We start from the raw sequence: 21,275 nt of genomic DNA, 5'->3' as shown, positions 1-21,275 counted from the left end.
GATATGACTATTATATTAGGTGTAAAGTTCCTGTGTCAATTTATCCTATAATTTTTCTATGTATTGTTATGTTTAGTGTGTTTCTTTCTTTATATGATATGTCTTCCTTGATCTTTTTAAAAGATTTCCCTTGAGATTTAAAAAAAATGTACGATTTTGCTCAGTAGTTACCTTTGCGTTGGTGTCTTTTAAAATATCTTTATTCATCTTTTTTCTTACTTAACCTTTTACTATGTGGATTGTTCATTCTACATGGTATAATTTGACATCTGCCTGTTTTCTATGCAACAATGATCTTATTCTACTTTCCTCTTTCTGTCTTTATTCTCAGCTCAAATTTTAAGTTGTATTCTTTCTACCTTGTTAGAACATACAATACTTATAAATTATTTTCCATCCTTGTCCCTGATTCTTATTTAAATCTTAGATCTGCAGTAAATATACCACATGCTCACCATCATTATTTTGCCAATGTTTCCGTTTAGCAGATTATCCAAGAAGGGTTCATGTGTACAAAGTTCTCTCATTCCTTGAATAAATCATTTGTTTTTCTATAGTCTTAATAATTGAATGATGGTTTTGCTGCAATAAAGCCCGTGGCTCACAGTTCATTTTCTTTTCTTTGATTACTTGAAAATAATGTTCCACTCTTGCCTTGCTTTGCAGGTTTTTCTTGAATATTGTGAGGCTTATATAATTTTCATACCTTTCTAGATATTATGGTTGTTGTGTGTGGAGGCCATAAGTATTGTTTTTTTTTCTCTCTTTAATAGTCTAATAGTTGTATAGGCTATGTCTCAGAATTAATTATTCTCAGTCAATTTTTCCAGGCACATTGGCCCTTCCATAAATTTAGGTTTCCTCTTATTTCTATAAAGAGTGCTTGTATTTCATTTAAAAAAATATTAGCTCTATTCCATGGTGCCTTTCACCTGTTAGAGACATCAATTTCTTAAACATGTATGAAGGAAGGGGATGTAGTAGAACAGTGGAGAAATGGCTTTTAAATAGGAATGTGGCTAGTTCATTTACCATAATGGTCATAATGGGGGAGACATGGAGGTGGATGTCTAAGGAAGGGCTCTTCTAATTGCTGTGGTTTCCTTAATGGTAGGGAAACATGTGCTAAGCTAACTCTCCAATCTCCCACCTGAGAAACAGGATGGAGATGAGTGCATTTGCCAATTTTAGATTCATGGCCTCAATGTGAATCACATATCAAAATTCATGAATGATGTCCTAGAAGGAGCTCAGAGAGCAATCAGTTCCTGATTCTTCTACTTAGTAGAAAACCCAGAGTTACTTCCTCCTGAAAACAGCATTAATGGGGAACATCAACTATGGAAGGTTCAGTTTCAAGGATAACCTTGGAGGAATCTGGAGGACTGTCCTGTGGGAGGTGGTCAAGGTCTGCTTTGTATTGCTTTAGGAGCGGTGAGAGAAAGACATAGGGACATGGATTTTGAGTGAGCATAGGAAAGAATGTCAGAGGACCGCAAAAGGCTGTTGTGTGAGGTAATGAAGTCTTTCTCCCAGGGAGTCTTATTTCTTCATTAAGTGGCTGGACATCATGATGTCAGGGGTGTTGGGTAGGAGATTCCTGGGTCAGCAGGAATTACCAGATGGTCTCCGTGCCAATGCCAAGTTGACCATTCACCTTCTCTCACTATCCAAGCTTACTCTGTCAAGAAATCTTGTCCATTCTACCTTCGACATATATTCAGAACCCAAGCCTTTCTAACTTCCTCCACCTCAATCACCCTGGATCAATAAACAATTTTCTCTCTCCTGAATTACTTTAATAGCCTTTTAGATGACTTTTCTGCTTCCTTCTGGCCCCACTCCCCTATCCCAATCTATTTTCAATAGCAGTCAGATGGATCCTGTTGAATTATAAATTAGATAATACCACCCTGCATCAAGCTCCACATTGATGCCCCATCTCACTCAGAGTAAAAGCCAAAGTCCTAATCACAGCCTACACGGTCCATGTGACCTGCTGCCTCTCCTGCCCATCTCCAATTTCATCCTCAACTGCATTCCTTGCCACCTGCAGTCCTGCTCACAGGCTCCTGGCTTTCCCTCACACCTGCCAGGAACACGCCCTCATCTCTTAGAGAGTGATGGCAATTTCCATTCCAGGAATGCCTCAGGTATTTGGAGAGGTCACTTTTTTTTTTTTACCTTCTCTTCAGATGTCATTACCTATTCAAAGAGGTCCTGCCTGTCCACCTTTATCAAAAAGCATTCCTATCCTTTTACCTTCCTGAATTTTTCACAATGGTACTTATTACCCACATATTATATATGATATTACTTGTTTATATTGTTACTGCCTTGCCTGACAGTAGTTTTGTCTGTTTTTTCATTGCTGTATACCCAGTGTCTAGAAGGGGCCTAGCACAGAATCAGTGCTCAAGAAATATTTGTTACATGAATGAATAAGTGAATAGGTGTGATTGTGTTTTTACAGGGATACGGGACAATGTGACAATAAGCCAGGGCTTGACTCCTTCCTTCTGGAGGGAGGAGAAGGACTTGATAGGGCTTTACCATTTTACTGTGTTCTGTTCCAGGTAAGATGAAGTAAACACATGGCAGCCTCTCTCTCCCACTGACGATACAACCTTGATAGAGGGCATGGTGGAGCTAATTGAATGATCCGAACAGTAAATACCAGCAAGTAGATGGGTGAAAACAGCCAGGATTCCAAGTACCACAAAACTGGTGTTGAGTTGTGCACACTTTTTCCTCTGGAATCTCTTGAGCAGAACTCAGCATGACCTGAAACCCAGGAGTGAGCCGCACAGTGCCGACAATGAGATGCAGAAGAAAACCTCTGGTTCTGGCTGAAGCAGTGGACAAGGAGACTCTTGAAACTCAGAGCCTGGGGGCACCCCTGATAGTGTTCTTTACTTTCTCTCCCTTCTCACATTCCAGCCACCAGAGAATGCAAGAGAGGAGTAGCAGTGGCAGTAAATGTGGCATCAACAACAACAACAAAAAGCAGGGACTAGGACTCTGAGGAAGGGAAGCCTATATTCTGGCCTCAGGGTGCTCTTTCTTCCTGCCTAGGGGTCATATACCACCTGTGGGCACCTCAGGACTCCTGACAACCTCACTTTTACCTGTTGCCTTTTTAGCCCAGGATCAGTAGGTATGGGGGTGCACATGCTCTTGAGGACACAGCAGCTGTCACATCAGGGAACCCGACTCCAGAACCCTCTGTAAATATCCCATGGCTTGGCCCTGCCCATCACCCCACCCAGGCCTCCTCAAATGAGGAGCTAAAGCTGGCCCATGGGGCCAAAGTGCAGAGGGTAGGGATAATGAGCCACTGGCCTTCTAGAACCTGGCATGGTCCCTGAGTCAGCCATGACACAGGCAGGGGAGGAGGGTGGGGCTGGGATAAAGCTGGATCTCAAGGGAGTTAGATTTGTTCAGCCTAGGGGAGGGGAGCAGAGGAGATGCTCTAAGATGTGGCTTTACCAAATGTTTCAAGGACACGGATGGACCAAGCAATGGCACCTGTGATGAAAGATTGAAGCCCAGGAGGTGGGGCTCCTGCTAATCTCACTTGACTATTGTAAGGCTCCACAAAAAGCAAGGTTCTTAGCAATGTAGATGGGGCTTTATGGGTAGGAAAGGGAGAAACTGGTATTTCTTTACGCAACTTCTGCTAAGCACCTCATATGTGCTATGATAACTAATCCTCACTAAGCCCATGACACAAAGATTCATGTTTTAGATGAACAAGCTAAGATATAAAAAAGTTAAACAAGAGACATCCAAGGTCACAGTCCTAGTAAGGGACAGGGCTGAGTAAGCCTTCAGTAAATATATTCTCCTACCCCAGTATAAAACCCAGAAAAGTCTTTAATGTCCCAAGTCACGGATCCTAACACATGGGCCATGAACTTTAGAACACAGAGCCCAGCAGCAATGTGAGGGAGACGTAGAAATCAAAACAACTCACATTTAGTAACTTGCTGAATGCTAGACAGTCTTCCCCATGTTGTGAGAAATGAAAGAACATAGCCCCATGACTTTGAGGTCTTTACAAGCCTCCCTGAAGAACTAGCTTCTCGAGCTGACAGACAGGCATGTTTTCACAAATTTACCAGGTACCTGTGACTCTGAGGAACACACCGCCTGGGCAAGGATGGATTGGCCAGAAAATCACTCAGTCCAAGGTAGTTCTTACAGCCAGAAGAATTCACGGGTGCTCTTAGTGGTTCTCAGACCTGCTTGTCTCATTTATTGAAGCTCAACTAATGCCTTGAAGGGGAAGAAATTAGCTTTCCATCCAGTTAGGAATGACTGTTGTGGCCTGGCGCAGTGGCTCACGCCTGTAATCCCAGCACTTTGGGAGGATGAGGCGGGAGGATCACGAGGTCAGGAGTTCAAGACCAGCCTGGCCAATATGGTGAAACCCCATCTCACTAAAAATACAAAAATTAGCTGGGCGTGGTGGCACGCGCCTGTCATCCCAGCTACTCAGGAGTCTGAGGGAGAAGAATCGCCTGAACCCGGAGGCGGAGGTTGCAGTTAGCAGAGATTGCGCCACTGCACTCCAGCCTGGGCAACAAAGCGAGACACCTTCAAAAAAAAAAAAAAGAATGACTGTTTTTTCTGAGGACCAAGGAGGCCTGAGGGAGCAAACTCCTTTGGAGTTTCGGGGATGTGGTTGTGTGAGCTTGTGGGGGAGGGCAAACAGTGTGGGCTATAGGGTGGTGGCCTGGGAAGAACAAGAAGGTCCTTCAGCAGCCTAGATAGGGGGAAGCTGCTTGTCTCTTCGTGAGTGAGGAAGGTGGGGTTTTATTCTATGACCTTAATTTGTAAAATTCCTTAATTTGTAAAATGGCATTGGAGAAATATCTAGCTCAGGGGATGGTATACTGATAAACTGTGAAGTGCTAAAGTAATTAAATGCATAACACAGACTTGGAGAAGTGGAAGTGCTAACGGCCTCCATTATATTAATTATATGCATCACTGAGCACATTGTAATCAATGGCAGCATATTAATGATAACATTGGGCATATTGGGTTCTAGAATCACTGAACTGGCACAGCAAGTATTTCAGAGGCCATCCAGCCTGGTCTTCCTTATCTGAGGTTAGAATTCTCTGTGAGATATTTGTGCTAAGGAGTACCAATATTTTCCTCAGTAATACTGGGCATGTTGAATATCAGAGTTCATCCAGGGCCTGGGAGAGTGGGAAATCCTGCCTGTCCCCCATGAGTCTTCCCCAGGTTGACCAGATCCACTCTTGCCCTCCTAGATCCCTGAGAACCGACAGATTTGGCATCCAGAGTGGGCTGTGGTCATCATTTGAAAGGAAAAACCAGCTATGAGTCAGGGCTTAGACTGGAGAAAATTTCTAAGGAGGTGGGGCCAGCTGCTTACTTCCCCCAGGCCCAGCAGGAAATTGAGCCTCACTGTCCCAAATGTGAACTGAAAGGCATCCAAGAGCCCTTGATATAACTTCAGACATAAACGACATAAGCACAGGGTCCCAATTCCCTGGGAGTCACCTCCCCACCCACATGAAGATGGCACTGCTGCCACAGTCATCTGTGACCCAAGAGTCATCCTTTCCACTATTCTTGGTACAATTACCAATAAACCACAGCAGGGAAACCATACCCCATAGCTCTCCCCAGCCTTGCCCAGTGTGCCAGTGGTGAAGAAGCCATTCCTTAGTGTTCTAGAACCCCCTCTGCAAAACATAATTATGCATAAGAAGATGGTCCCCACTCCCAGCAAATCACAGCTCTGCTCTAGGGAGCCTGCAGGGTAACAGGAGGCCATCGCTCCTCTAGGGGAGATGGGAGTCCCTCCCTTTTATTCTCATCCCGCTTCTCTCTCAGGTACAGTCCACCTGGTTGTAGTGGAAAGTAACAATAAACTCTTGTCTTAATCCACTTCACCCCCAAGTACAACTTCAAGCAGTAAGAAATACAATATAAAACCTTCATTCAAGAACCCTGTTCTCCCCACCCTGATGCAAGGGTGGCTCTGTTGGAACAAGAGTGGCTGCCCAGGCCCTTTGAACCATGGGAGAAGATGTTCTGGGGTCAACTTCAAGACAGGGCTGGCAGTACTGGGACACTTGGCTGAGAAACAGGGGGCCTGCCCAGGTAAAGAGCTTCCCCCCATGGACGTAAATGGAGGGTCACAGCTGAGCTTCAGGAAGGGAAGGAAAGGAAAAGAAGGAGCAAGGAGTATGGGGGCACACTTTCTCCTCATACTGGGATTCCAGCTCACATCCCAGTCCTTCCCAGTGAGCAGTCATGAGAACCTCACCCTGAGAAAGGAGGCAGCGATGGGGCTTTTCTCTAGGTGCCCTAGCTCTCCCTCTCCACTGAAGTTGGAGACTAGACACTGGTGGTGGAGGGGCAGAAACTTAGGCCCCAGGTCCTATGAGCAGATCCCTCTACAGGTACCTGGGGCTCAGATGGTATAAGACAGGAAGGAGGGAGCCTGGGTAGGGTCAGGTGGTGGCTCCCCACAATTAGAAAACATGGCTTTTCTGCATGCATTTCTTTGGATGGGTGAGGTGGTCTCCTGCCCTGTATTCTTGCTTGACCAATAATCACAGGCTTTGATTCTTGTGAAAGAACAAGAAAGTCAGGAGACATCTGGAACAAAGGCAGCAGCAGGAAGAGCAACACAGATGCAATATAGTGTCAGGTATAGCCCGGCTTACTGTCCCCAACTAGGCAGCAAGATCAATCAGCCTCCCTCACAGAAACCAGCAGAATGGGGCATTGTGATTTTGATGATTTTTTTATTGTATTGAGAACACTTCACTTGAGATCTCCTCCCTTAACAAGTTTTTAAGTGTACAATAAGCTATTGTTAACTACAACAATGTACAACAACATTGTACAGCAGATTTCTAGAATGTATTCACCTTGCATGACTGAAACTGTGTACCTATTGAATAACAACTCTCCATCTCCCCCTCCTCCCAGTCCCTGGCAACCACCATTCCACTCTCTGCTTCTGGGAGTTTGACTATTTTAGATACTCCATATAAGTGAAATCCAGCAATCCTACTCCTGGGTATTCATCCAAAAGAATTAAAATCAGGTTCTCAGACATGCACTTCCATGTTGATTGCATTATCCACAACAGCCAAGATGTGGAGGCAACCTTGGTGTTCATTAACGAAGGAGCGGTTAAAGAAAAGTGGAATATACATGTAACGGAGTAGAATTCAGCCTTAGCAAAGAAGGAAATCCTGCCATATGCAACAACATGGGAAGTGGTGAGGGCTTTCACTAGAGGTAGGGGTGGAGAAGGAAGCTTCTTAGGGTAGTTTAAGGAGGTAGGAAGCAACATCACAGTTTGGCCACATCTCCTTCCTGTAGGAAATACAAAATCCAAAGAGACACAAAGAGAAGAGAGAAAGAAAATATAGCAAACATTCTAATGCCATCTTTGCTACTGGACTTGTACACGTTTTACTGCCATTTCTCATTTCACCCTCAGAATAACCTCTGAAGAGGTCATTGTAGTTCCCATTTTACAGACAAGGTCTCTGGGCTGGTAGAAGGCCTGGGTAGGATGGTTATTCATGAGCTGAGAAGGAGAATCTCAGACCACCACAGTGGGTGCTCTCAGGACCATTCCAAGGCTTTCTGGCTAAGAGTCCAGGGGAACATCACCTGGGGCTAGGGAAGAGCTTTTGGAACCAAGAGCTCCAAAGGCTGGGATTGCCCAAGAGGACAAGGGGGAGGGGCATGTTGGGCACCTTGCAGTGTGGTGATTCCAGAGGCATGCACCCTGGCTTGCCAAATGTCTCAGAGGGCTTGGGCTCCACAGGCCCTCTGCTATGGAGAGCTTTTCTCAGCCCTTTCCACCTACTACATGATTCTAGGAATCTTCTTCTGTGGAAGGAGGAGCTTTGGGAATCTGCTGGGCTGCAGAGGTAGTCCCCATCCAGCTCTATGCCACTAGTGACAGCTCCAGAGTTTTGCTCTCACCAACACCCACATGCTTCTGCTCTATAAAGATATCATATTTACATATTGACCTTCTTGCCCCTCCTACTGTATGAACCACACTCACAAATGCACACACGAAGGCTTTGAGCAGCATTGAAATTGATCAAGCCTGAGTATCATAGAACAAGTGTCCTATCTGCTAGAGTTTGGCTGTACCTTGACCTCAGATATCTGCCATTCAGAATGGAATGCCCAGCTCTGGGCAGGCACTGGATCAGAACAACCATAAGCTTAGGCATCTGCTTCTCCCTCTTTCTCCACCTCCATGTCAAGGGCACCCCCTCACTACAAACTGGGCCTGGGGTGGTGGTATAAGGCATGGGGCAGGGAACTGGGAAGCTCCCTCCACCCCATCTGATTTCAGACCTGCCTCCTCAGTGCCCCATGTGTGACCCAGCTATATTTAGCAAGCTCAATTCAGTAACTAGAGCAACTGGTCTAGCGCCCTCCCCTTCCAAGGACTCTGAAGGGGCCAGTTTCTCACACCTTTTAATCATCTTCCATTTCTCCAGGCAACCAACACAAAAGGCCTGGACCAGGTGGTGGAGATGCTGGGGCTCCTACACAGAGGCTCTATTTTCTGTTTGCAGTCTTCCAGGCCAGGTAATTATGGATCTGTCCTCAGAGGAATTCTGTTTCTTAGCATCGGCTGCTAGAAAGCCCATTTATGTCAGTCTGGCCTCACCACTTCTATCGGTGTTACACTGCAGAGGACTGTATCACTGACTTGACATCTGCCTGTGGTCTAATGTGAATGCATTCCCATGCACACGCCAGCGTGCAGTGTGTGTGCATGTGAGTGTGTGTGCATGTTGGTTTGTGAATAGAGCACTCCTTGATCAGTCTTTATTGCATGCCCACTTTGTGCCAAGCCAAGGTGTTATAGATGAAAGTGCACAGTAGTGAAGGAGGGGGAAGAATCGCTGCACACATTGCAGTTTTCGTTGTGGTGGAATCAGTAAACCAACAGATAAGATCATTTGAGGTAGTGAGGAATGCTGATGGAATTACAGCAGATAGATGCCTAGTAAATGAAGGGTAGGTGAGGGTGGGGGTGACCACAGTCGCTACTTTAGATGGGATTGTCAGGCAAGGCCCCACTGAGGAGACAGGATGAGCTGGAGGTGGAGCCTTCCGGGCAGAGGAAACAGCAAAGTCAGAAGCCTTGTGGAGAATGGGCTTGGTGTGTTTGTAGCTGGAGAGAAGAGGGTGGGGGTGGTGGGGGAAGATTGGTAGGATCTGAGGTCAGAAATAGAGATGTCTGCAGGGCTCAGGGAGTCAGAACTCAATTCCCTCCTGTGTCACTTACTAGCTGTGTGACCTTGAGGGAGTTACCGAACCTCTCTGGGCCTCTGAGGGGTAATGATAGTACTTCCTTTAGAGAGCATTATGGCGATGATGGAATGTGTTCACATATGTAAAGGGCTTAGCACAATAGCTGGCATATACATCTGCTGTGGTTTTCTTTAAATAAGTATTTGCTATTTTGATCAGCCTTCTTGTTATTACAAGAAAGGAGCTTACATTTGAAGAAGAGTCCGTTTGTCTGCTGGAACAAGTTCTGGAAATTATCAGAGACCTGAATTTTACTCCCTGGTGTGTCTTCAAGTCCCTAGGTGTCCGTTCCTTTAAGGCGTTACCAAGACAATCCTTTGAGACCCTAGTTTAGTGTCCAGCACAGGAGTTGTCTCCTAAGGGTTGGGGGTGTTAATTAGTGGATGGTGTCCTTAACCAAAAAGAGTGAGTTCCAAACTCATCCAGAAGAGCAGTCTAGGAAGCTAAAGTTCAAATGACTCATCTGTTCACTTCCAGCAGGGAAAGAAGGGGAGTGAAGCAGGGAGAGGGAGGGAGGCATGGGGCTGGAAGAGACAGGACAGTGGGACTGTGCTGCCCAGAGCCTTTTCTCTTGGCTTTGGCCTTGTACAACTATATGGGGATGCCTGGTGAGGATGAAGGCTGGACGGCACAGGGTCTAGTAGGTGCTGGTTTGGGGCAGGCTCCTGCCTCATTTTTTTCATCAGTCATCAATGAAGAAGTCAGCTGAGATAATTGATAAGATCTTTCCTAGTTAACCCCACTCAAAACATCCATTGGAGGCTGAGCTGGTTAGTGAGTTAGGGGATAAAAGGAAAGAATTTGGAGATGAGGACCTTTTGAGGACAATACACCTTGAATTTTTGGATCGTGGTAGCCTTGAGGATAAAGTGTTCAGTTTCCCCTTTGCAAGCTGGAGGTGCGGAAGGAGATGGTATTTGTGGCCATCCAAGCTAGATTGCCATCAGACCCTTGAGTGTGTAGTCAGCAGACTTGGCGAGGATTTCCATCTGACATCCCTGCCCCTCTCCCCAACTACATGGAGAGAGGCACTGACAAGTTCTGCATATTTGCAAGCACACATCCATACCCTACAAGGCATGGGCTTCTGAAAATTTGCAGATAAATCACATTTTTGTAAATCAAATTCCATTTTCAATGCACTTTGGTTTCTTATTACTGAAAGAAGCCCTGTTGCAAATCCTTTTGCGAAGCAAATATCTCTTCCCCCATAAATATCTCCTTCATGTTTAGGCTCTTTTTTTTTTTTTAATTTTTTTGAGATGGAGTCTCGCTCTATCATCCAGGCTGGAGTGCAGTGGCGCGATCTCAGCTCACTACAACCTCCGCCTCCCGGGTTCAAGCGATTCTCCTGCCTTAGCCTCCCGAGTAGCTGGGACTATAGGTGCAAACCACCACCCCCAGCTAATTTTTGTATTTTTAGTAGAGACAGGGTTTCACCATGTTGGCTAAGACGGTCTCGATCTCTTGACCTCATGATTCACCCACCTCGGCCTCTCAAAGTGCTGGGATTACAGGAGTGAGCCACCGCGCCCAACCTATTTAGGCTCTTAAAGTATGGAAGCCCCTGTCTGTTCAACTGGGTGTGAGTATGTGTGTGTGAGAGAGAAAGGGCTTGTGTGTCAGTGTGTACATGTGTGTAAGTGTGAGAGTGTGTGTGTGAGAATGTGTGAGTGTGAGTGTATGGTCATTGTGAGAGTGTATGTGAATGTGTGTGAGAGAGAATGAGAGTGTGTCAGTATGCATGTATGTGTGGGAGTGTGTATCCATGGGTGTGTGTGTGTGTGTCAGTGTGTATGTGTGTGTGTCAGCATGTGTCAGTGCATATGCATATGTGTGTCAGTGTGTGTTTGTGTGCCTGTGTGTGTCAGTGTGTGCATCTGAGTGTGAGAGGGTGTGTGAGAAAGAATGTGTCAGTTGTGTGGTGTGTGTCAGTGTGTATGTATCAGTGTATGTGTATGTGTGAGGCTATGTGAATGTGAGCATGTGTCAGTGCATATTTGTGTATCAGCGTGTATGTGTGTCACTATGTGAGTGTGTATGTGTGTGTCAGTGCACGTGTGTCAATGTGCATGTGTTTGTGTTAGTGTGTCAGTGTATGTAAGTGAATGTGTGTATCTGTGTGTGTCAGTGAATATTTGTGTGTCAGTGTAGGAGTTTGTCAGTGTGTGTGTCAGTGTGTATATATGTATGTCACTTTACATGTGTGTCAGTGTATGTGTGGGTGTGCATCAATGTGTGTGGGCGTGTGTGTGTGTCTGGGTATGTGAGAGTGTGTCAGTGCATATGTATCAGTGTGCATGTGTATGCAAGAGCAATTGTCAGTGTGTCATGTGTATGAGTGTGTATGTGTGTGTCAGTGCATATGTGTGTAAGTGTGTCAGTGTGCATGTGTGAGTGTGCCAGTGTGTATGCAAGAGTGTGTCTGTGTGTATGTGTGAGAGTGAGTGTGTCAGTGTGTGTGTGTTGAATGTGTCTGTGCATGTGTGTGTGTCAGTGTGGGTACGAGAGTGGGTGTGTGTCAGTGTGTACATGTGAATGTGAGAGTGTGTGCATTTGCATTCACTCTGGCACATGAAAGGGTTTATGAATGCACGATGCTTTTCTCCTCTCCCGGCCTTGCTGTGATATGCTGCTGGAGTGAGACACTGTCCAAGCACAGGGCTGACCCGGTGTGGTTCAGCCCTCCATCTGGGCACGCCACCCTTTGTTCCTGGCCTCTGACTGCTGCTCCTTGTGGGAGTTGTCCCGGGGGCCACGTTAGAAGCAGGCACAGAGGAAACAGATTCGTTTCAGGAAAATGGAAATTGTGCCTGCCACTTGGATTGAGCCAGGGAAGGGGAGGCAGATGTGAGAATGTAGAAGGGGGTGACTGGGGATTCTCCCGGAATTCATTCATGAGATTGCATTCTACAATCAATTATTCATCAGAGAAGATCCAGGGAACCACTGTTGTTTGCTTTCTGCCTGTCTGAAAGATGAGGACTGCACCCTTAACAGCTGTCGATTTAACTGCTGGGAAGAGCGGCTTGACTTCCCCTGGAAAGGCACTGCCACCTGTCTCACCACCCACCCACTCACACCACTGAGCTCTGCGTGGGGAAGGGTCCCCTTCCATCTCCAGCCTTCTGCAGGCTGGTGCAGGAGCCAGCCAAGGAGCCTCTGGAAAGATTCCTTCATCACTTATTAATGGTCCCCGGTCTTGTCCCTGAAATAATTAGTCTTGGGATATTTTCCTGTCACGCAGTTAATTGCCATCTGTACTGCTTAACATGCCAGGGCACTGGGTAGCAATCTGGGGGCCTGTGGAGGGCTGTGGGGATGGGGCCTGAGTCATGGTGTTGGCTGCCACAGCCGGGGTGGGAGGGGGAGAGAGGGAGCTTTCAGCGGGGTGTGGGAGGTGCCGGGGCTCTGGGCAGCTTCATCCCTCAGTTCACAGTCAAAGTCTTAAGAACCAGCTTCTTCCCTGGGAGGAGGAGAGGGAGGGAGCTGAGGTCCTGGAAGAAAGCAAGGTTCTCACCACAACAGACCCCGACAGGATGCCTGGGAACCAGATTGTCTCAGGAACATCGGGATTCAGGATCTGAAGCCCTGTGTACTAGCCCTCTGTCTGGTTCCCTAGAAGCAGGGTTTGAGAGGAGATTCCAGCGTGTGGTTTGTTGAGTGAGTGCTTGCAGGAGAAGCTGGGAGGGATTGTGGGGCATGATGGAGCAGCAGAAGGGTCCAGGCAAAGATGCCAATTCATGGGAGGCCTAGCAGGGCCCAAACCCACAGGGGCTTTGGGGCGTGTACGGCACATGGAGTTTGTTATACCTGAAGACAAGAGGGTGGCTTTTCTGTCCCTACAGCAGTCAGACCTTAGCTAAAGGCTATTCCCAGGGGAGGGGCTATGGTAGAGGGCTTAACCTCCAAAGCGTCTCCCAGGGAAGTGGCTCCTGCTGGCTAAGGCAATGTGGAGGAGAAGGGTACAGTTATGAGCTATTAGCAGCCAACACTGTAGCAGCTTGGAGTGAGTCCCCAGCTGGTAAAGGACATCTGGGTGGGACACCAACAGCCTCTGATCCCCCCTTCCTAGCTGCTCTGAGGCTCTGTTTCCTTCCACGTCAAAGGGGGTTCAATGGCCTTCCCTTGCTCTATTGCAATGCAGAAGAGTAAAAAACTGAGAGGGTGTGGCAAGGATCTTGTAGTATCTTGTAACTGTAGTGTGCTGTGTAAATGCCAGCTAGTATCACTACACTTATTCCCATGCTGTTTAGTGGAAGAAATACCCAGATTTCACTTTACATGGAGCACAAACCACAGATGCTTGGCTGGATTTTTTAAGGCTTCTCTCCCCCATACCCCTCTCCCCTGGCCTGGGCTCCTTCCATTAGACAAATGTCCCTTTGACATGGCATTATTCTCTGGGATAACTTAGAAAGGACGTGGAGGGGATTAATTTTCAGTTGTGGGTCATGAGAGCTAGAGTGAGTCTCTTTCTTAGGTGCTCTTAGACTAGAGCAGGGGAGATGGGTAAGGGGACGGCCTGAGGGCCAAGCACAGGGGCCTCAGCAGGAGGGCCTCTTCCCATCCTCATCCATTTTGTAACCGCCCTCAACCCCCAGAGGGGACAATGAGTACAGAAGAAGGGCCCCTCCCCAACCCTGCTGAGCCCCTTTCTTATCCCCTGCCCCTTCCCCCAGCACACAGGAAAAAGGGGAGCTCCCACCAAAGGCAGCCCCTGTGGGCTGAGCAACGTTGATCCTGGCCACTCCCGAGAGGAGAGGAGAGGAAGTTGCTGGGGAGTCAGTGGAGGAGGCTGGAGGAGAGCTCTCCGCAGTGACAGGCCTGTGGGGAGGAGGGGAGGAGGGGAGGAGGGGGTTAGTGTCAGCAAGCCTCTGACTAGCTGAGGCTGAGAGTGCCAGGTCAGAACCACTGACCTGCTGGGCTGACCTGCTGTTTGTCAGGCCTTCAACAGAGGGAACACAGTGACACTAGGGTGGTGCTTTCTTCCTCAAGGAAAGGACTGTGGTGTTTGAGCCAGATCCTTGGCCTCCCCCACCCTCCCCCGTGTTGAGCCCTGTGTCCCTGGGCTTTGCTGTGCCTGGGTGTCCGAGGAAGACATTTTCCTGCCTGCCCTTTTCTGGTGGGGAAAGGTTTCCGGTCCACCCCTAGGACACAGCATACAGGCCTGGTCCTCTCTCAAACTGAGAAAATCCAGAAAATGACTGGGCTTGGGAAAAAATGCATTTTGGTTGTTAGTGGCCAGAATGTGGGATTATTTCTGGGGAAACAACTAGGTTTTACTTTACAGGGTGCAAGTGTGTGTGTGTGTGTGTGTGTGTGTGTGCGCGCCCATACACACAGCTGTCTATTGAGGACCAGGTCACACTGCACCCTCATCCCAGGAATCAGACCCCTGCCTAGAGCAGAGGGCCCTGGACACTCAGCAAGGACACATCTGATCCAGGACATCTTTGACCTCACCGCTGTTGGCCCAGCATAAGGCAGGAAGGAGAAGTGGGCTTGGCAGAGCCTCTGCCTTCAGGGTCTGGAGTCTAAGTTTACTCAAGGGAATCATGTGGGGGATCAGGTCTAAGGTGGTTTGGGTAAGGCAGACAGTGCAAAGCTCACCAAAATGGTCAAGGAAGGCTGCATGGAGGAGGTGAGGCTTGAAAGAAATGCAACATTTGAATTGGGAGGGAAGAAGAGAGAGTGTGTGTAAGGAGAATGTTTGCGTCAGCTCAAGTGTGGAGGCAGGAAGAAGAGAGGGCAGCCTGGCTGGGAGAAAATCTTTCCAGAATAAATGATGATGATGATGATGATGATGATGGTAATCATTATCATTATCAGAGCTAATACTAATTGACCATCTACTGTGCGCCAGGCACCATTCTCAGAGCTTTACAGATTAGCTTATTTAATCCTTACAATTCCACAGGTAGATACTATTATCATTTCCAATTTTACATGGTTTTTGTGTTGCTAAGAAGGAATACCTGAGACTGAGTAATTTATTAAAAAAAAAAAAGTTTAATCTGCTCACGGTTCTGCAGGCTACACAGGAAGCACGACCCAGTATCTGCTCCTGGTGAGGCCTCAGGGAGCTTTTACTCTTGGTGGAAGATGAAGCAGGAACAGGTGCGACACATGGTGAGGGAGGGGGCGAGAGAGAGAAGGGGGAGGTCCCACACACTTTTAAACAACCAGATCTCGCATGCACTCAGAGCGAGAACTCACTCATTACCACAAGAAGGGCACCAGGCCATTCATGAGAGATCCGTCCCCATGATCCAAACACCTCCCACCAGGCCCCACCGCCAACACTGGGGATCACATTTTGACATGAGATATGGAGGGGGCAAACATCCAAACCATAATTAATGGGCACAAGGTCACATAGCCAGTGAGTGGCCAAACCAGGATTTGAACCTGAACAGCCTGGCCCTGGAGCTTCTGCTGCTATCTGATAGACCTTTCTAGATAAGCTAGCAAACACTGAGCCCTTATTATGTGTCAGGCACCGTTCTGAGCCTTTTATTCATGCAGTCTTCATTATTAATTCCATTTTACAGATAAGAAAACTGAGACACAGAAAAGTCACACAAGATTATCGAGGTCAACACAGAGAACAGTGGAACCTGCACCTGACCCCAGGCAGGCGGAACCTTCATGACCACACCACACCACCACAGGGAACAGGCAGGGAAAACAATGGTAAGTGGAAGCCATGGACATTGTACTCAGGCCTGTGGACATGCCCCCAGGCATTGGGAACTCTGGTGGGTTTTGATCGCCAGCAGGGAGCAGGGACATGGGGAGGAGGCACACAGCCGGGCGGGTGCCAACAGCCACGGAGGAGCCATCTGAGGCTGGCGTTGGGATGCGGGGAGGGCTTGCCTCCTCTGTGGCTCCTGTGGCCTAGTTTCCTGGCGGCTGCCAGTTAGTGGGACCTGGCAAGCAGGTTATAAATATCCTGGACTGACAGCAAGGCCTTCACACTGACACTGTTGTGGATTAAGCTGAATGTGCAGCTCAAGGTCATCGGCATGGCTATAGCTTTGCTTTGGGAGAGGTCTAGTTGAGGCAGTGCTAAGGAGGGGACAGCAGAGAGGCTGGGGTCTGAGCCCCTAGGTCCAGCTCAGCACAGACAGTGGCTTTTCCTCTCGTGTGGCCTGAGTGCTTCACTTCTGCCCTTACCACGTCTCTCGCCCCAGCCTCCTCTGTCCTCCCCAAGCCTGCCCTCTGCGGGTTTTCCCAGCCCACTCAAGCCAGAAGTCAGTGGTTGGGGATGCGCTGGGCAGGCGGGCAGCTCCTGGCCTTTCCTGCCTTCTGCTTCAGTCACCCGTCCTCCCTCAGCACCTATCTCTGCCCACGTTTCCAGAGGAGAGTTGGACAGTGACTCTGGGTTGACTCAGCAAAGCTGCAGCTCCCTGAGGACTGTGTGTGTGTGTGTGTGTGTGTGTGTGTGTGTGTGTGTGTGTGTGTCCATGTCCACTCTGCTTATAAAGAAAGACACTTAGAAATCTCAGAACCTCACAGCTGGACAAGACCCCTAGGTGAATGTGCTCTGGGAATGTGGCTCAGAGACATTCTGTGTTTACAGCTAGAGCACAGGCATCTGAGTCCCAAACCAGCCTCCAGTGGAGCCAGCCTTTGGATTGGTTCCATCCCAGAAAAGCCCCAGGAAGGCCTGGGAACTATATGCTGGGGTTAGGAGGACCTCAGCTGAAGGAGCTGGGTGTGGGCTGGGGAATGGAGGGGGCTGGTCCTCCATCGGGCGAAGGGACAGAGGCTGTGTGGGGCGATGCAGCAGAGGCAGGAGTCAGCGCCAGCCATAGACTTGGGTGGGGCTACAGCAGGCCAGGACTGCGGGCCAGCTGGGGTCTGAGTGGGTTCTGGGCTGTGCTGGGTATTGTCTACCAGCACTTAGCATTGTTTCATACCCTTTATGTTCCCTCTGTATTACAGGGTCTAGCAGGACAAAAGTGACATTTCCCAGAGTTTCTTGCTGTTTGGATCTGGCTGCAGTTTCAGTTTTGCCAAGAAGAGGCATTTCCATGAGCTCTGGACAGTGGCAGAGAGGCAGAGGTGCTCCACTGCAGTGTGCTGGATGGTCCACGGGCTCCTGCCAATGTGAGGATTTGCAGCAACTGGTATATCCATGGTCTTGTCACCAGCTTCCTGAATTCGGGGCAGCTGGAGCCACACTAGTGGTCCTTCCTTGCAGGGGCAGCAGCTGTCTCCTGGTCTCAGAATCACAGCTGTGGGGATGCAACCTTAAGCCAAAAGCCTAGCGGTGGGTGGTCCTAAACTTCTTTTGTCTAGGCCCTCTGATCCCTCTGTAAGTCGCTATTTCCCTTATTAAATCTCTTTCTGCTGGATACTTTGGGTGTTTCTACTTTCTACACAGAATGCTGATTGACATATAGGACACGGCTGGGACAGGTGGATGCTGGGCTGAACAAAGGAGGGGCCTGGGCCTGATTCAGAGGCCAAGGAAGACTCTGACACTGGTGTCTGTGATGAGGATGTGATGTGGCTGAGGAAAAACTGCAAGCTTCAGGGTCAGAGGCTCTCGGGGTAGGCAGGGACAGACCATCAGCTGGGCTTCAGTGACCCGCTGTGGACGCTGGAGGGGAGCATTGCAGAAATCCCAGCAGGTCCTTTCAAAGGTGACCTAGATCTGCCCTCATGCAGAAACCAAGGGCTGCTCCCCTGCAGATAGTTGAAGGAGATGGGTAAACAAATCCAGGCCACAGCTCACCTAGAGCCTGGGGTCCAGCTGGGTCAGCCTGTGGGGCCAATTCTAGTACATGCAGGGGAGGACAGATGAGCAGCCCCTTTAAAGGAGGCCAGCTGGAAAAGTGCAGAGTGTCAAGAATTTCCTGGGGAAAGTGCCCAGGCTGCCTTGGCCCTGTGGGGTGCATCTCCACTATCTCCCAGCCCCCAGAGCAGTTCACCCTGAAAAGAGGAGATGCTGCAGCAACCCAGAGGGGCTCTGAGGTGAGGGCCCTGATCTTGGTCCTGGCATGCCTGCCCAGCTGAGCCCTGCACCCAAGAGAAAGGAGAGGCTGAGGCTGCTGCAAAGGTGCCAAGTTCCTGCCGGACCTACATCTGAGCACCACACATTCCCCCTACAGAAAGATTAAAATAAAAGAGACTGTCTGCTGCTCAATGACTGGGGGTAATGGAATTAGGCGTGAACTGTGCTGTACCTGGCTCTTAGCTCCTGACTGCATCCAATTGGCAGAGGCATCATTTGCTGAGTATTGCTGCCTGCCCAGTGACAAACAGGCACTACCCCATTTAATCTTAAGAGGAATTATCATCATCCCACTGGTCTAAATGAGGAAACTGAAACTCAGAGAGGTTGAGGAAGTTGCCAGCCATCACAGAGCTAGTTAGTGGAGGAGCTGGGATTTGAACTCAGTCTGCCTAGTTTGGAGCCACAGGTCCAACCACTGAGTGTACTGCCAAAAGGAGCAGGGTGCCTTCTGGGCCCCCTTCTTGAGAGTCTGGGAGCCCAAGTCAGCACCACCTCTGACCTTCCTTCAGCCCCCCACCCAACCTCTCCTCCCCAGCTTCCTCCCCAGTCACCCTTCTGACCTGCGCCTGGCAGATGAAGAGTTAACGTAGAAACAGAGGGCTTTGCTCTCCTCTTCTGGCCTGGCTTGATGGGTGCTGGGTGTTTTTTAATCCTTCTTTCCTTTATTTCAGTTTAAGCTGGTAATTGTCATGCTGCTCCCGTATCATCCACTGACATTTAAGTCCCAGCTCTTTCTAAATAAGGAGCGGATTGGCCTCAGCTTGCGCCATGGGGAGGGGTAGTGTCAGGCCTTCCTGGCAGTGTGAGGGGCACCATCCCTGGCTCTTGGACTTCCTTGAATCAATGAGGAAAGGAAAGTCTCCCAGCTGTGGCATTTCTCACAGGTTTTAGAGACTCAGAGCCGCCCTGGAATTATCTGAAAGGGAAGTGTGGCTACCCTGGTTCTGATTAACCCTCAGCTCAGAGTTTCACCCTTCCAGCCCACTTTTGTCTTGGAGGTGGCAAACTGGGGACCCATAACCAAATGTTTTGTTTTGCCAACGTACTGTTTAACAATTCCGAATACACTGTTCTCGAATTCTTTCCAGTCCTCATCACTCCCTATGGTTCTAGCTTGCTAACTTGCGAATAATGCCATCTCCAAACTTCTTTCTTATACGTGCAAGTGGTCCTAGGAAAGGTAGACCCTACGAATCACACCTCGTGGGAACTAATTTATTTACAGCCACCCTCACAGGACTCTAGCTGACTGAGGCTCTCGGGGGTTGGGGGTGGGCGATGGTGATTTTGGACTACAGCAGGGCAGCAGGAAGGGGAGGTGGGACCTAGGCAAGGAGAGGTGGGAGATTCTTGGCCAAGGTCACCAGTTTTCCAGGCTGGCTTCCATGGGACAGCTGCCAGCCACCACTTTTTAAGCATCCACCATAAGCCCAGAATTGTACTGGATGATTCGGACACATCATCTAAACCCATTCTCCGAGGTGGGGCTATTATCCTGAATAAGAAAAACAAACTCTTTCTTTCTCAACACCAACTGCACCAATACTTCTGGCCACCAAATATGTAGGGAGTGTTTTTCACCACACCAAGTAATTCTCTAATTTTCAGTGAACAATGATTTGGTGTCCTGCAATTTAACTCCATTCTGACGCTAACTTCCTAGAGTTAGTGCAGACTTCACAGCTTAAAAGGCTCAGTCCCACAAGACTGCCCCCACTCCAGACTCCAATCACAAGTCCAGGCTGCCATCTGTGCTTCTGACCAAATGGCTATAAATCAGAGGTTCCTGAGACCCTCTCCTCATGTTCAGTGATTTGCTAGAACAGCTCACAGAACTCAGGAAAGCAGCTTACTTATTTCACCACCAGTTTATTATAAAAGGACACAACTCAGGAACAGCCAGAAGGAAGAGATGCACAGGGCAAGGTATGTGGGTGGGGTGGGGCACACATGCTCCCAGCACCTCGATGTGTTCACAACCTGGAAGCTCTCCAAACCTCATCTTTTTGGGTGTTTTGCTCCATTATGTGGGCATGATTGATCACCTCATTGGCCATTGGTGATTAAATCAATCTCCAGCCCTTCTCCCCTTCTGGGGAGTGAGGCTGAACATTTCAACCCTCTGATCATGTGGTTGGTTCCCCTGGCAACCAGTCCCCCAATCTCCAGGCTATCCAGGAGCCCCCAGACACCAGTCATTTCATTATCATACAAAAAGACATATCACTTCTGAAGATCCCATGGGTTTTAGGAGCTGCATGCCAAGAAACTAGGGATAAGACCTGTATATATATATATATTTCTACTATATCTCAATATCATATATCTTCACATCACAGATGGGAAAACTGGGCTCAGAGAGGTGCAGTCGCTTGCCCAAGTCCTCACAGTGGACGAGAGGCCACAGGGGTCTTGCAGATACCCAGAGTCACTATGCAGCATTGCGGTGGTGTGTTATCTTTGCATGGTATCGTCTCTTTCACTAATTTATCAAACATAGATTTATGGAATGTTGGCTCCTTGCCAGGATGCAGGCTGGATAGAGACCCTGCCCCTGACCCATTCCCTGGCTGGCAAGGGAAGCAAGACAAGCAAGCAGGAAACTTTCTGCCCAAAAAGGGGGATGCTGGAGTATCCGCCCCACCACCACCACCAGCACCAAAAACCACCACTACCATTTCCTGAGGGCTCGCCATGCACCAGGCTGTCAGGAGGCTTTGCAGGTATTAACCCTCTTGACAGCCCGACCAAGTAGGCACTGTCACAGTTCTGCATTGTAGACAGGCACTAAATGAGTCTCAGAGAGGTTAAATAATATGTCCAGTGCTAGACAGTTTCTACCTAATAGGGAGGAATGAAGTGCTACAGGAACATGAGAGACGGAGCGGCTGCCTAG

The 21,275-nt window shown here is 48.5% G+C and overlaps 1 long non-coding RNA gene across 1 annotated transcript, besides 4 other annotated features; it reads left to right on the top strand.

Annotated features, from left to right (window-relative positions):
* Nucleotides 1,679–2,304: an enhancer, noted in NCBI's record as "OCT4-NANOG-H3K4me1 hESC enhancer chr6:40327493-40328118 (GRCh37/hg19 assembly coordinates)". NCBI's record gives its function as "activates a minimal SCP1, AML or CMV promoter by ChIP-STARR-seq in naive H9 embryonic stem cells {active_cell/tissue: H9 hESC(naive)}" and the evidence as "EXISTENCE:reporter gene assay evidence [ECO:0000049][PMID:30033119]".
* Nucleotides 1,934–2,228: a silencer, noted in NCBI's record as "tiled region #9486; HepG2 Repressive non-DNase unmatched - State 22:ReprW, and K562 Repressive non-DNase unmatched - State 22:ReprW". NCBI's record gives its function as "represses a minimal TATA promoter and a strong SV40 promoter by Sharpr-MPRA in HepG2 and K562 cells {active_cell/tissue: HepG2 | K562}" and the evidence as "EXISTENCE:reporter gene assay evidence [ECO:0000049][PMID:27701403]".
* LINC00951 (long intergenic non-protein coding RNA 951) lies at nt 6,052–17,713 on the top strand. The gene is made up of 3 exons (NR_038887.1): nt 6,052–8,619; nt 15,906–16,047; nt 17,302–17,713. It is a non-coding gene; the product is annotated as a long intergenic non-protein coding RNA 951 (long non-coding RNA).
* Nucleotides 15,807–16,520: an enhancer, noted in NCBI's record as "H3K27ac-H3K4me1 hESC enhancer chr6:40313277-40313990 (GRCh37/hg19 assembly coordinates)". NCBI's record gives its function as "activates a minimal SCP1, AML or CMV promoter by ChIP-STARR-seq in primed H9 embryonic stem cells {active_cell/tissue: H9 hESC(primed)}" and the evidence as "EXISTENCE:reporter gene assay evidence [ECO:0000049][PMID:30033119]".
* Nucleotides 17,237–17,952: an enhancer, noted in NCBI's record as "H3K4me1 hESC enhancer chr6:40311845-40312560 (GRCh37/hg19 assembly coordinates)". NCBI's record gives its function as "activates a minimal SCP1, AML or CMV promoter by ChIP-STARR-seq in naive H9 embryonic stem cells {active_cell/tissue: H9 hESC(naive)}" and the evidence as "EXISTENCE:reporter gene assay evidence [ECO:0000049][PMID:30033119]".

The sequence above is a fragment of the Homo sapiens genome, chromosome 6, assembly GCF_000001405.40.
Source record: "Homo sapiens chromosome 6, GRCh38.p14 Primary Assembly".
In the NCBI taxonomy this organism is placed as follows: domain Eukaryota; kingdom Metazoa; phylum Chordata; class Mammalia; order Primates; family Hominidae; genus Homo; species Homo sapiens.
Note: the sequence above shows the minus strand (reverse complement) of the source record. Positions and strands in the feature narration are given on the sequence as shown.